Source organism: Homo sapiens, chromosome 6 (genome assembly GCF_000001405.40).
Source record: "Homo sapiens chromosome 6, GRCh38.p14 Primary Assembly".
Classification (NCBI taxonomy): domain Eukaryota; kingdom Metazoa; phylum Chordata; class Mammalia; order Primates; family Hominidae; genus Homo; species Homo sapiens.
Genome location: NC_000006.12, coordinates 156,870,219 through 156,882,525, shown reverse-complemented (window position 1 = coordinate 156,882,525; position 12,307 = coordinate 156,870,219). Strand labels below are relative to the sequence as shown.

Below are 12,307 nucleotides of genomic sequence, written 5' to 3'. Positions count from 1 at the left end.
TACGCTTTGTTTTCCCAAATGGATTTCAAACACCTCTATATTTTCCATTATTCACATGTGTTGACTGATACTTTATTGTGCAATGATTAGGTGTCCACAGAATCATCCCAGGCCCTGTAGATGGTACAAATATGAATAAGACAGAATCTCTGAACAGAAACAGCCCCTAGCAGAAGAGAGGGAGCCCATGGGCAAACAGGGAGATTCTGAGTGGCATCAAAGAAGCACAGCAGAGAGGCAGGCTGGCCAACTCTGCCCGAGGAGCTGGGCGGAAATGGGTCCCAGAACATGGGAATTGCTGCTCCACCGGGACCAAGGCTGAGAGGGAGGACTCCCTTTCAACTAGCAGAGAAGAGAAACGAGAGTAAGATCTGTTGAACAGCTGCAACCCAGCTGGGGAAGAAAGGCACACACAAGTGAAAGAGGAATCATTCAGGACAGGATGAGCAGTGATGGGGCAGAATTTTATTAATTCCCAGGGCCATGCTAGGCATACAGCAGATGCTTAAAAAAATACTGGCTGTATGATTGCTTGACTCTGAAATAAATTAGTACATTTTATTTTAAAGCAGAAGTATGTATGTTACTACCCAAGTAAATGAGTTCTAGTTCTCAAATATCAACTGTGCATACTTAAGCATTAGGGCTTCCCCCAATGCTACACTAGCCTTCAGGATGCCTCCTCACATTAGTCAAGAACACATCTTCGCCTTATTAACCCAAATAAGCCATGGGGAGGAAGTTAAACTTGCCGCCACCCCAAATCGAATACTGTAGCCCCAAACCGTGAGGCAATTTTTAAGGAATATCTACCATTTGGAATTATTGCTATAACTACTTCCCCACAATGGGGACAGGAACACTGGAGATCCACCAGTATGTATCACTAAAGACTAAAATTCCAACCACAGGTGTTGAAAGTAGCCCAGTATTGAGGTATGGGAACCCGTGCAGTCCTCAGGCTCTGAGAAGGAATGATGCAAAACCGAAGACAATATGCCATTTGTGCAGACATTTAGAGAGAACCTAAAGGTATTACATGTGACACTATATATATACATAGATGTGTGCATACATTGTATACATACATATATTTTTAAAACAGTATAAGCAGGAGTCTATTTTCCAAAGCTTTGAAAACAAAAACTAGTAGAAATTATGCAATTTCTTCAAATACAACATGCCAGAATTTCAAATCTGGTACATCTAAAATTTCAAATACCATATACTAAACCCTATTTGGGTCCAGAAAAGCAACTTCTGGCTCTCCTAGTACCAAATTGTGACTGCCTGAGTGAGCCGTAATTAACAGAAATCAGCTTTCTCAGGTTCCAAGAGTGGCTCCCAGAGAGGCTGTTCCCAGCCATGCAGGCCCCACCCAGGGAGAAGGAGAAGACCTAACTTGAGCCAACTCACCTGGCAGGGCTCTCTCGAAACTCCTGCAGGCCCCAGGCAACACGCTGTCACTGTCAGTGCATTTTAAATACCCTTCTAACCTCTACTATCAAGCTAACAAGACCAGTACAGAATTCTAAACCCTTCTCTTTAGCCTTTTTCTCTACTTTACAGCCACAAAAGTGCTTATAAATTATGCTAGTCTGAGAACATGGATTACACAAGAAACACGAAAAAATGACTATGCAGTTTTCAATTTAAAATTTCTGTTCGCTATACAAAACTAACAAGGATTTTTAAAAATACTAAAAGCTTAATAACTAACATCCACCAAAAGCCATCAATGTGTGTTTTTCTTTTCTTTTCTTTTTTTTTTTTTTTTTTTTTTTTTGAGACAGAGTCTCGCTCCGTGGCCCAGGCTGGAGTGCAGTTGCACGATCTTGGCTCACTGAAACCTCCGCCTCCCGGGGTTCAACTGAAACTCTTGCCTCAGCCTCCCAAGTAGCTGGGATTACAGGCATGCGCCACCACGCCCAGCTAATCTTTGTATTTTTAGTAGAGACGGGGTTTCGCCATGTTGTCCAGGCTGTTCTCGAACTCCTTGACCTCAGCTAATCTGCCAGCCTCGGCCTCCCAAAGTGCTGGGATTACAGGCGTGAGCCACTGTGCCTGGCTGATGTGCATTTGTCTTATGCAAAACTTACACAATAAATCTAAATAACTGTTTCCTACTCTATAAAGAGCCTTAAGTTTGACACTTTAAACACTACATCATCTTATCTACTATCTTAGAAATGCCTTGTAGTAAGCTTTTGCCTCTAACACAATCATGAAACATTCTCGCTATTTTTCTTTCTCTCTCCTTTCACTACCAGCATTCCATTTTCTAGCTCCTCCCTTCTCTCTCTTATCACATCCTTCTTTTCCTTTGACCCGCTCTACTAAACGACTGGTCATTTGCTCACACTAAGATGTCTCCCTCTCCCAGAAATCTCTTTTTCCTCCCAGGCTTTTCATTGACATTGGCCTGCAGTCTCTTGCCACCTGGCCTCCACCTCACAACTCAAATATACCATCAGGGGGCATCTGGGCTCCCAGAAGCCCACAGCCCCTACTGGAACAGCCTTTGGAAATCTTCTAATGCTGGAAGGGTCCTTCTCCTCTGATCACTGTTTGCCATCTGCTGCTGCAGAAAGGGTTTGAGATTTTGTTGCAGTTTTTGCTTTGCTTTTCTCCCAATATCATGAATGAGTTGACTCTTAGCTTTCCTGCTGTATGTGAAAGATCACTAGTCTAAAACACAGGAAGGCTAAGCTTACACACACACATATGCGCACGCTGCACATATATACACATGTGTCATATGTTTATATCTTAACTCCCAGCAAGAGTTGACTTTACAAAAACAATGATATAAACCCTCTGCTTCCTGTAACAGAAAAGCTACCCGATACTTCTAAAATAAAATTCTTAAGGGTTTGCAGAAGTGTTTAGCATTATATGAAAAAGAATACCTCTTACAGTACTTGTTTTGAGGCACTTCATTCCCAAAACACATTTTCCATTGTTGTAATCTTTTAAAGTGCTCATCTATCTGGCTTCTACAGCAATTTGCGAGTGTGAAACAAATATGCAATTCACAGAGGGAAAAAAGGGCAAAGGCTTAATTTACGATACTCTCATTTGCCAGAGTGTAGAGCTGTGGGGCACAGCCACAAAAGTGATTGTAAATTCCACTGGTCTAATGAACAGATACAGTTTTCCTAATTTTTATTGCTGTACTCCACAGCTGAGTGATTGTCAGGCCAACGCCAAAGCACAGGTTCCATTTGAATGACATATGGCTTCAGTCAACCAGAGAGATGTTCAACATTAAACAACACAAGTAGACAGAACAAGAATACAAAATGCCAAATTAGCCCTCGCAGAACCAGATACCCTAGTACACATCTCAGTCCTTTGGAAGAGGCTCCGAGTGCGTGGGTATGATGCGAACACTCCTCCCTGGCCCCTTGCAGCAATGCACAGGGCACAGCCGGGATAGGCTGGTGCGGAGGAGAGCCTCCATGGGCACTGGAGTCAGAAGCTGTAGTTCCGCCCTCAACAGCTAACTGTCCTACCTACATCAGACTGCTTTACCTCTTTGTCCAGCAGTTTCCTTACCTCCTCCTTACAAAATGGCACTACAATACTTCCTCCACCTCACTCAATGAAATGCTGATGCAAAAACACTTCCTAAATGGTCAATCACGATGCAAACAAACCCATGATGATGACAATTCTCTTACCAACAAACACTTCCTAAAGCAAGCCCAGTGCAATTGCAAGCATTAAAGCAGCAATGTAGCGACCACCTGTCCAACCATTTGGCTGCCCAAGCTATGAACCCTCTTCTGGGATTTGGGTAACTCCTCACCTTATTATGAGCCTGATAGGAGGCAGACTCCACTTCCCAAAAGAGAGGCTGGAAAGGCCAAACACTTACTTGCTTTCCCAAACTAGAAACTAGAGTAACTGGAGTTACAGGCAGCTAGATTATTGACCCAGCCAATCAGATGCACATGCCCTGGTCTTTGACTCATTAGCCAGTAATACAAAGAAACAAGGAGAGGAGGAACTTCTCCTTGCAGTACACACAGCAATACCCAATTTCAGGTGTGTGCACATGTGTCTGCCACCAGGATGCCAGTGGGGCGATATGGAGGTACAAGTTGTGTCTGGCATGCTCAGGTCTTCTCTGTACTTGTGACCTGTTTTTGCAGCATCCTCATGGTGTGGTCTCCCTTGTTCCTGCCCTTCTGGCAATTCTGTGAGCTTCCCAACAGCCTGTCAATTCCTTTTCTGCTTGAATTGGCTAGACTCGGTCTTCATCGCTTACACCTAAGAATCCTCGCTGACACAAGGTAAAATGGTACCTTGAAATGGTAGCCAGATAAGTGGAGAAACTAAAGGAGAGCCTCAAAATGTGTGGCACCACAAAGCAAAAACAGAAGGCAGAACGTGACGCCCAGCTGGCAGAGGCATGAGGAAGGGCAACCGCCTGATCAAGTATGTAGAGTGAGAGAAGCCCTTCAAAAGATCTTACGTAACTAATCAAAAGTCAAGGATAAACATGGGCCAGACGCGGTGGTTCACGCCTGTAATCCCAACACTTTGGGAGGCTGAGGCAGGTGGATTACTTGTGGTCAGGAGTTCGAGACCAGCCTGGCCAACATGGCAAAACCGTGTCTCTACTAAAAATACAAAAAAAAAAATTAGCTAGGTATGGAGGCACACGCCTGTAGTCCCAGATACTCAGGAGGCTGGGGCACGAGAAGTGCTTGAACCCGAGCAGCAGAGGTTGCAGTGAGCCAAGATGGCACCACTGCACTTCAGCCTGGGTGACAGAGCGAGACTCTGTCTCACTTAAAAAAAAAAAAAAAGGATAAATATGGTTATGCAAGAAGGCCTACAGGTGGCATGGACCCAACTTTCAGAGGCCGGCAGCTCCAATGTGTTCCTTCTTTTAGCATTCATTGAGACCTTATGTGCCAGACTCTGAAAATACTCATGAGGGTCACAAGTTCAGCAGGGGACACATTCAATAGCTACAGGTAATTTTAATATAGGGAGACACGTTATTGAAGTAGACGTTGAATAAATGTAGGTGGAGCCAGCAGGCAAGGAAGAAGCACGGAGAAAGAGACACCTGAAGGAAACAGGAGAGGGGAAGGAGTGCGGGTCCACAGGCAACAGTACAGCACAGTGCAGAGTGAAACACAGCACCATGCAATCTCGAACTGCAAGCATCTCAGTAAAGTGGTGCTTAGATCCAGGCTGGAGAGCTGAGAGCAATAGGGGTGAACAGGAAGACAGGAGTCCAGAAGGGTCATGCCATCAGACTCACAAGTTTGGATTTTATTTCACAACAGATATTCACTAAAGAACTTTAAGCAGGAGAATAACATATCAGATTTTCATTTTATTTTAACAAGATTACTGTGAAAGCTCTTTGTGAAAGAATAAATAATAAGTGGTTGCTAAACATTCGGGATTCATAGAACCTTTGAGAGTATATTGGCCAGAAAAATGCATCTACACACATATATAGAAATCTTAATATTTAATTTCCGGGAGGCTGAGGCAGGAGAATCGCTTGAACCTGCGAGGCAGAGGTTGCAGTGAGCCGAGATCACGCCACTGCACTCCAGCCTGGCAACAAAGCAAGACTCCATCTCAAAAACAAACAAACAACAACAACAAAAAAAATTAATATTTAATTCCAAAGGATTCGCAGCATCCTGAGGTCCATCTGTGAACACTCAGGGGTCTGTGGACCTCAGAGTGAGAATGATCTGGAAGTAGGAGGGCGATAACTGGCAGATACACTGGTTGAGGGGCTAAAGCAACTGCCCACGCCAGTGACGGCAACAGCCTCAACTTGGGTAAAGGCTATGAAGACGGGGCACACAGAAAGTGTCTGGGACAGTCTTCAGGAATTAGTGATCAAGTGGAGGAGGGTAGTGAGGGAAAAACACCAAGGATAATAACTTCCCAGGCGGGCAACTTAAGAGATTGAGCAGTGCCATGTTTTTATGGGGGCAAACGGTGGACTGGGGAAAAGAAACACCATGAGTATACTCGGAACTGGGATGCTGGAGGCGCCCCCAGGTGGACATGCCCAGCCGGCATCAGCAGTGAGTCTCGGGCTGAGTGGGCCGTGGTCCAGGGTAGAGCCACTGGAACCAGGACGAGACAGCTGAGCCTACACAGATATCGAGGCCCAAGTCCACAAGGCAAACCCAGGACTCAACCTAAAATCCACAGGGCCGGATGGGTGAGGCTGAGGAAAGAGGCCCACAGTTCACTGAGAACACCACCACAATATCATCTTACAAACATTAATACAAACTTATTAATCTGTGCATGTGATTTATTCACACAGTCACATCAGTGCTATCTACTCCAAAATATAAAGCTTTGGCAAATTTCTTTAAATAATTCTGTTCAGTGCCTGGTAGGTACCACGGGAAAGTCAACACTATCATCCAGAGATACAACTCTAAATTTTTTCAGAGACCCAACTTCAAAAAGGACAGTGTATGCAGACAAATTTTAAAGATGCTTTAAAAATACCCATATAATTTGGAATATTCAACAGTACACTTCAGTAACACTAAAATCTGGAATGGAATTTGCAATTTCAGGAAAGCAGTTCTTTAACAGAAGTATTTAGCACGTTATATAAACATGTTATTCAAAGAAATGTACAACACAGGGGATTTTCATCACATTTACTACATTTGTTAGCCAAAACGTAGCCCTCTTGTAATCACCAAGAGAGTTGCAGTAAAACCTCTATAATATTAAACAACAGCACAACACGGCAGTAAGCCATCCTTTTATTAAGACAAAGAAAACATACTTAATACGCGCAGCTTTCTTTGCCACTTCTTTCCTGAGGAACTCATTTTAAACAGCAGCTCACTGAAAAGGCATGAACTGTTTAAATCTGAACAGAGACTCGCATCTTTATTTTGTGAGGAGAAGCTGGCAGGGAGAAAGACTGTGATAATTTTAAGGTTCTATCAGTCTCATGCTAAAATCTAGAGTGTGAAATAAAAATAATCAAAAACATTAATCCAGAATCGAATACAGCTGGTCAATGAAAACTTTCTCACCTCACCTGGCTTTTAACATTGACCATTACAAATGCAATTAATTTTGAATAAATGGCAAAGTGTTCCATACATTTTTAAGGAAGAAAATATAGATGTCACTAACTGGACTGGAAAATGGATGCAGATATGAAGAAAGCTTATGGTACTCAAATGAGTGATTTGTAAAGCTCTGAAAGTTGATCATGCAATGCACAACCACAACCATTTCCTATGAAGCTAAAGAATGACTTTCCTTCCATACACTGAGTTCCTGCTACACAACATATGGCAGTGTGATGGTGTAGTGCTCGTTTAGTGAAGGAATGCGGGAACAATGAATAAATGAATGGCCATCAGCCTCAAATATATATCTAGACACTACTCTTAATCTATATACTCAAATAGGCCATTTAGAGATGGTCTTTCAAAGAATACTGTAAAATTTAGCAAGTAAAAGTAGATCCTATATGTTAACTAAAGTCAAATATTTACCTGATCAGTTACTATGGGTGGGCTATTCCACTTTGTGCCACAGCGATAAAATCCAGATGTGGCTCCTGCTCTTAAGGGCCTTAAAGGAGCAAAGGACCCATATTCCAATTACCATAAGTCAAGATTCAATATGCCACGACCATAAAGAGATACGCTTAAGGCACTACGCACGTTCTGGAAATGGATTAAAGCTCCACGAAGGAGAATGGAATGGAGTTTTGAGGAGTAGCCAGGGTTGTACCAGACAGAGATACAGGGAAAGAGATCAGGACTTCCAAGTCACAAATAATGGCACCATGAAAATGTGGGACCTATTTAAGAAGGCGGGGTTTGTGTAAGAGGAATGAAGGACATAGTCAGAAAGGGACGGGCCTGGAGCCAGCACAGAGAGGACCCATGCAAAAGAGAGGCCACACTGAAAAGGGGACTGCAGATGCACCTGCTGATTTTTAGTTTGGGGGAAATGTGTAACAAACACCATGCATGCCAGGCCTTGAGCCTTGGTGTTGAACTCACTCTTACCAACTTCACTCTACAGGTGAGAGATTCCCACAGCATACAGCTGATAGTCAGTGAGAAGGGGAATCAGGAGAGTCAGGGCCCCTACTCCAGGATATTAAAACAAACTAAATGGCTGAGCGCAGTGGCTCACACCTGTAATCCCAGCACTTTGAGAGGCTGAAGTGGCTGGATAGCTTGAGCCTACCAGGAGTTTGACAGCAGCCTGGGTAACACAGGTAGATCCTGTCTCTACCAAAAATTTAAAAATTAGCCAGGTGTGGTGGCGCACATCTATTGTCCCAGCTACCTGAAAGGCTGAGGCAGGAATGAGCCCAGGAGGTTGAGGCTGCAGTGAGCCGTGAAACACTACACTCCAGCCTGGTGACAGAGTGAGACCCTGTTTAAACAAAATAAAACAAACAAACAAAAAACCTAAACATAAGAAATTAGTCAGTACAGGAAAAAAGGGCAAAATCCAATATGACTCTTTGGCACTGCCACCACAGGCCTGAGGATACTATGGTTCCATTAAGAGAAGATGTGGGCAAAGCAGATGGAGGAAGAGCTGTTTCTGAGGAGGCCGTGGGTATCTGAGAAATGCTTTGGCGGGTGCTGACAAGGCTGGCCCGCAGCTGAGAGACAGGTTGGGCTGGGGGCACAGATCCAGGAGAGAGCCTTCTAAAGGACGCCACTCATCAGACGCCTGAAGTTACCAATGCCTGAGACTGTCCACAGGTGGGGAAGACCGGGCCATCCTTCAGGAGACAAGAAGGCAAACCCACGTAAGTGAAGGAGAATCTGCAAAGCACACAGGTACTGCAGTAAAGCTCTGCTGCACAAGACTCCATTGCATTTGCTGAATAATTCACACTGTGTATCACAGCTCTGCACGCAGCCAACCATAGAAACACAACTGCATCAACGCAGATCATTTGTAGATTCCAGATCTTCAGTAATATTTATTCAGATTTCCACTTATCCTGTAAATCACCAGTTCTCTCCTTCAAAAATTGACCACTAATTTTTACAAAGTTTACAAAAATATTTGTGACTAAATATGCTTTAAGTTTAAAGTAATAAAAGACTAGTATTAGTTACCCTCTCCTCAAAGTATGATAAAAATTATTCACTTTGAACTTATGAAATGTCAGAATCTTCAGTTGAACACAATTATTGTGACAGAAAATTCTATCCAGTGGGCTAATCCAGAACTTTCCAATCATTAATCACATAATTACATAAACTAACCTGTGATTAATTTATGTAATTAAATATGATATGAAAATTTGTGCCCATTCCCCTTTTCTTCAACCCGTATTCTCTAAGAGCCTTCTGTTTATCTGTCAGGCATCATGCAAGGTGCCAGGAGCAGACATGAGAAGCCATGCACGGGGCTGCTGGCGTGCTTGTAGGCTGGAAGGGAAAGAAAGAAACATGAAATGGCCTGTTCAGGTGGTCACTGCCTCGCTGTCCGACAGTTCTGGTAAGAATGGCTGGCACAAGATGGAAGGAAGAGTAGAGGGGTCTTCAGCACACGGAGTAGCCTCAGAGCAGGAGGGGAGTGTCCAGCATAAAATACGGATGGGCCGATGGGCAGGGGTTCCAGGGGAAAAACAGCATGGAGGAAAACAAAGCACCAAGAAACAACCTATGTGGAAGGATGACCAATGACCACGCCAGCAGGCTCACGAACAACATCCACTCCACAGCGTGGGGGCAGCAGTTGGAAAAGGGTGCTGAAGAGACCTTGTTATTTCTCAGATACCTATTTCCCCTTTTTCTGGTCCCTGGAAGGCTCTGTCCTACTGAATAGAAATTATTAAAGAAAGCTTAGCAAGCCAATAAACCAAACAGACTGAAAACCGATGGGTTAGGCCAGGAGTGGTGGCTCGCACCTTGGGAGGTGGCTCAGCACTTTGGGAGGCTGAGGCGCGCGGATCACCTGAGGTCAGGAGTTCAACACCAGCCTGGCCAACATGACGAAACCCCATCTCTACTAAAAATACAAAATTAACTGGGCGTGGTGGTGCGCGCCTGTAATCCTAGCTACTCGACAGGCTGAGGCAGGAGAATCACTTGAACCTGGGAGACGGAGCTCGCAGTGAGCCAAGATCGCACCATTGCACTCCAGCCTGGGCAAAAACAGCAAAACTCCTTCTCAAAAAACAAACAAACAAAAACAATGGATTAAACTGACCAGGTATGATTCCAAAAACAGATGAAATGGAGGAAGGAGATTTATTGAGCACTAAGTGCCAGGTCCTAGGCAACCTGCTTTTACACATGAAATCTCATCGACTAATCCCAATTCTTGTTTAATAAAAAAGAAATTGTAGTTCAGACGATTTAAGTAACTTGCTCAGGATCACTCGCCTTGAGAAGCGGCTGTTGCTTAAATCCAGTCTATTTTATTTTATTCTACACAGACTCTATTCCAACTTCCCAACAATATGTCAGCGTACAATATCATATATGCACATATTCATTCATTAACTCATTTACTATTTTTTAAATCTAAGAACATGGAGAAAAACAGAAAGAGAAAAACAAGTCTTCAATTAAGTATACATAAGCCACCAGGAAAAAAGCACAATGTGGTTCCTCAAGAAGGAAAACCAGAAGTGAATGCTCTTGTAACTTACAATGAGCCCAGTCCCAGGAGGCCCTGGAAGGACCTGGTATCATCAAGCAGGACATGCACCTGCACAGGGATGGGCCCTCAGCCTCCCATCTAAGAAGCCCCTGTTCCTGCAGGAGGGGAACAACACAGATGTGCCAGCTGCCCCCACTGTCATATGCTGTCCCAAAGACTTGGAGCAAGTAAGAGCATGTAAGAAGATACTTGCCAACCAGAATGTTTCTTTCCATGTGGCATCTCCAGAGTCCTAAAAGTAGGATAAAACAGTAATTAGGAGCAACAGTGTTGGAGTCAGTCCAGGATTCCCATCTTGGCCCTGTGGCTTATTAATTAGGTGACCTTGAGCAACTTAATCACTCCAAGAAAACCTCAGGTCCCCATCTGTATCAGGCCTTCTCCACCACTCCCTATCAAATGTGCAAAAGGGTTATCCATGGGATCTGATTTCCACTCTGTCTAGCACCGTTTTTCAGACTGCCCATAGCATAAGTGAACAAGAACATTCCATGGGGTGCACTTAGCATTCCATGACTGCCTTCCATTTATTTGTCCATCACCTACTGGATGCCAGGCACTGTACTAGCTAGGAGGTGATAAATGTAAAAGATAAGTAAGCTACAGTATCCCTGCCCTCCAAAAATCTCACTTTTCTACACCACAGGCTGGCCTGTTGCTTCTATGGTATATGTAAGAAACCGTAGCAAGATAGGCTGTACAAGAAAGGAGAAACGATGACAGCAGTCTTAGTTTCAAACCTCCTCAGATTAATGACAAGGCAAAAAAAATCACTCAGATTCTAGTTACGGAACTTACTGACATAAATACTAATCTCTTTTAGGCATAATGCTAGGAAATCCAAACGTTCTAGATATTTGAAAATGATAAAAATCCCAAATACAAAACATGCACAGACTTTAGGAACATGGTTTGTTAGATGTTATTAGGACATTTTTGGATACAGAATCATTACTAAATATTACTGCAAAATAACAAAGAGGTTTGGTAAAATATTCTAGTTCTGAGTCTAGAGTCCAATGTCACACAGCTTTTTAAAAATGTAAACATATCTATAATGTGCAATACGACAGAATTAGCAACTCTTAGCTGGATATATGTGACTTTTTTTTTTTTTAACACTACCATTTTAAGCATTGCTTTTCAAGTACTTCTATTTTCACAGGAAATCCAGAATCCACATTTTCCCACCAGGTCTAAGTTACCACACAGACTCAGTATTTGACAAGACTTCATTCAAAGCAAGCTCTTCAATCCGCAGCTCCCAAGGCATAGGAAATCTTTTAAACTATAGATACAGAAAAGACAACGAAGGCAATTTAACCTAAATAATTTGTTCAATGGCAAATATATTTATTCCATGTTACCCTAAGCCCTGAAGTGAGACATTTTCAGGTCTCCCTGGCCTCTAGCACCAGGCTGGAAGCTTTGTGTTCAGGATCTGGTTATAAACAGCCAGCGGAACGTCTCCTGGAGCTCCCTGCTAGCATCCAGCCTCTCAACACCAGGATGGGCCTCAGACGGGGCCTGCTACCACAGTATGAACGCAATCTGACGACCGGGGGGAGGCAAAAGGATTTACTGAAGTTCCCTGTGGATCAGGAGGCGCTCTCCAGCTTCTCTGGTT

The 12,307-nt window shown here is 43.5% G+C and overlaps 1 protein-coding gene across 36 annotated transcripts in view, besides 2 other annotated features; it reads right to left on the bottom strand.

Moving 5' to 3' along the window:
* ARID1B (AT-rich interaction domain 1B) overlaps window positions 1-12,307 on the bottom strand; it is a 434,754-nt gene that overhangs the window by 328,254 nt on the left and 94,193 nt on the right. For 18 of the 36 annotated variants that reach the window (NM_001371656.1, XM_011535984.3, XM_017011105.3 and 15 more), the window contains one exon: window positions 10,874-10,912. The exons of the other annotated variants lie outside the window; for them this stretch is intronic. In NM_001371656.1, the coding sequence (NP_001358585.1) occupies window positions 10,874-10,912 (39 nt within the window). The remainder of the gene's footprint in view (window positions 1-10,873; window positions 10,913-12,307) is intronic. 36 annotated transcript variants of the gene reach the window in all.
* Window positions 285-354: an enhancer, noted in NCBI's record as "active region_25320". NCBI's record gives its function as "activates an Ori minimal core promoter by ATAC-STARR-seq in GM12878 lymphoblastoid cells {active_cell/tissue: GM12878}" and the evidence as "EXISTENCE:reporter gene assay evidence [ECO:0000049][PMID:35858748]".
* Window positions 365-414: an enhancer, noted in NCBI's record as "active region_25319". NCBI's record gives its function as "activates an Ori minimal core promoter by ATAC-STARR-seq in GM12878 lymphoblastoid cells {active_cell/tissue: GM12878}" and the evidence as "EXISTENCE:reporter gene assay evidence [ECO:0000049][PMID:35858748]".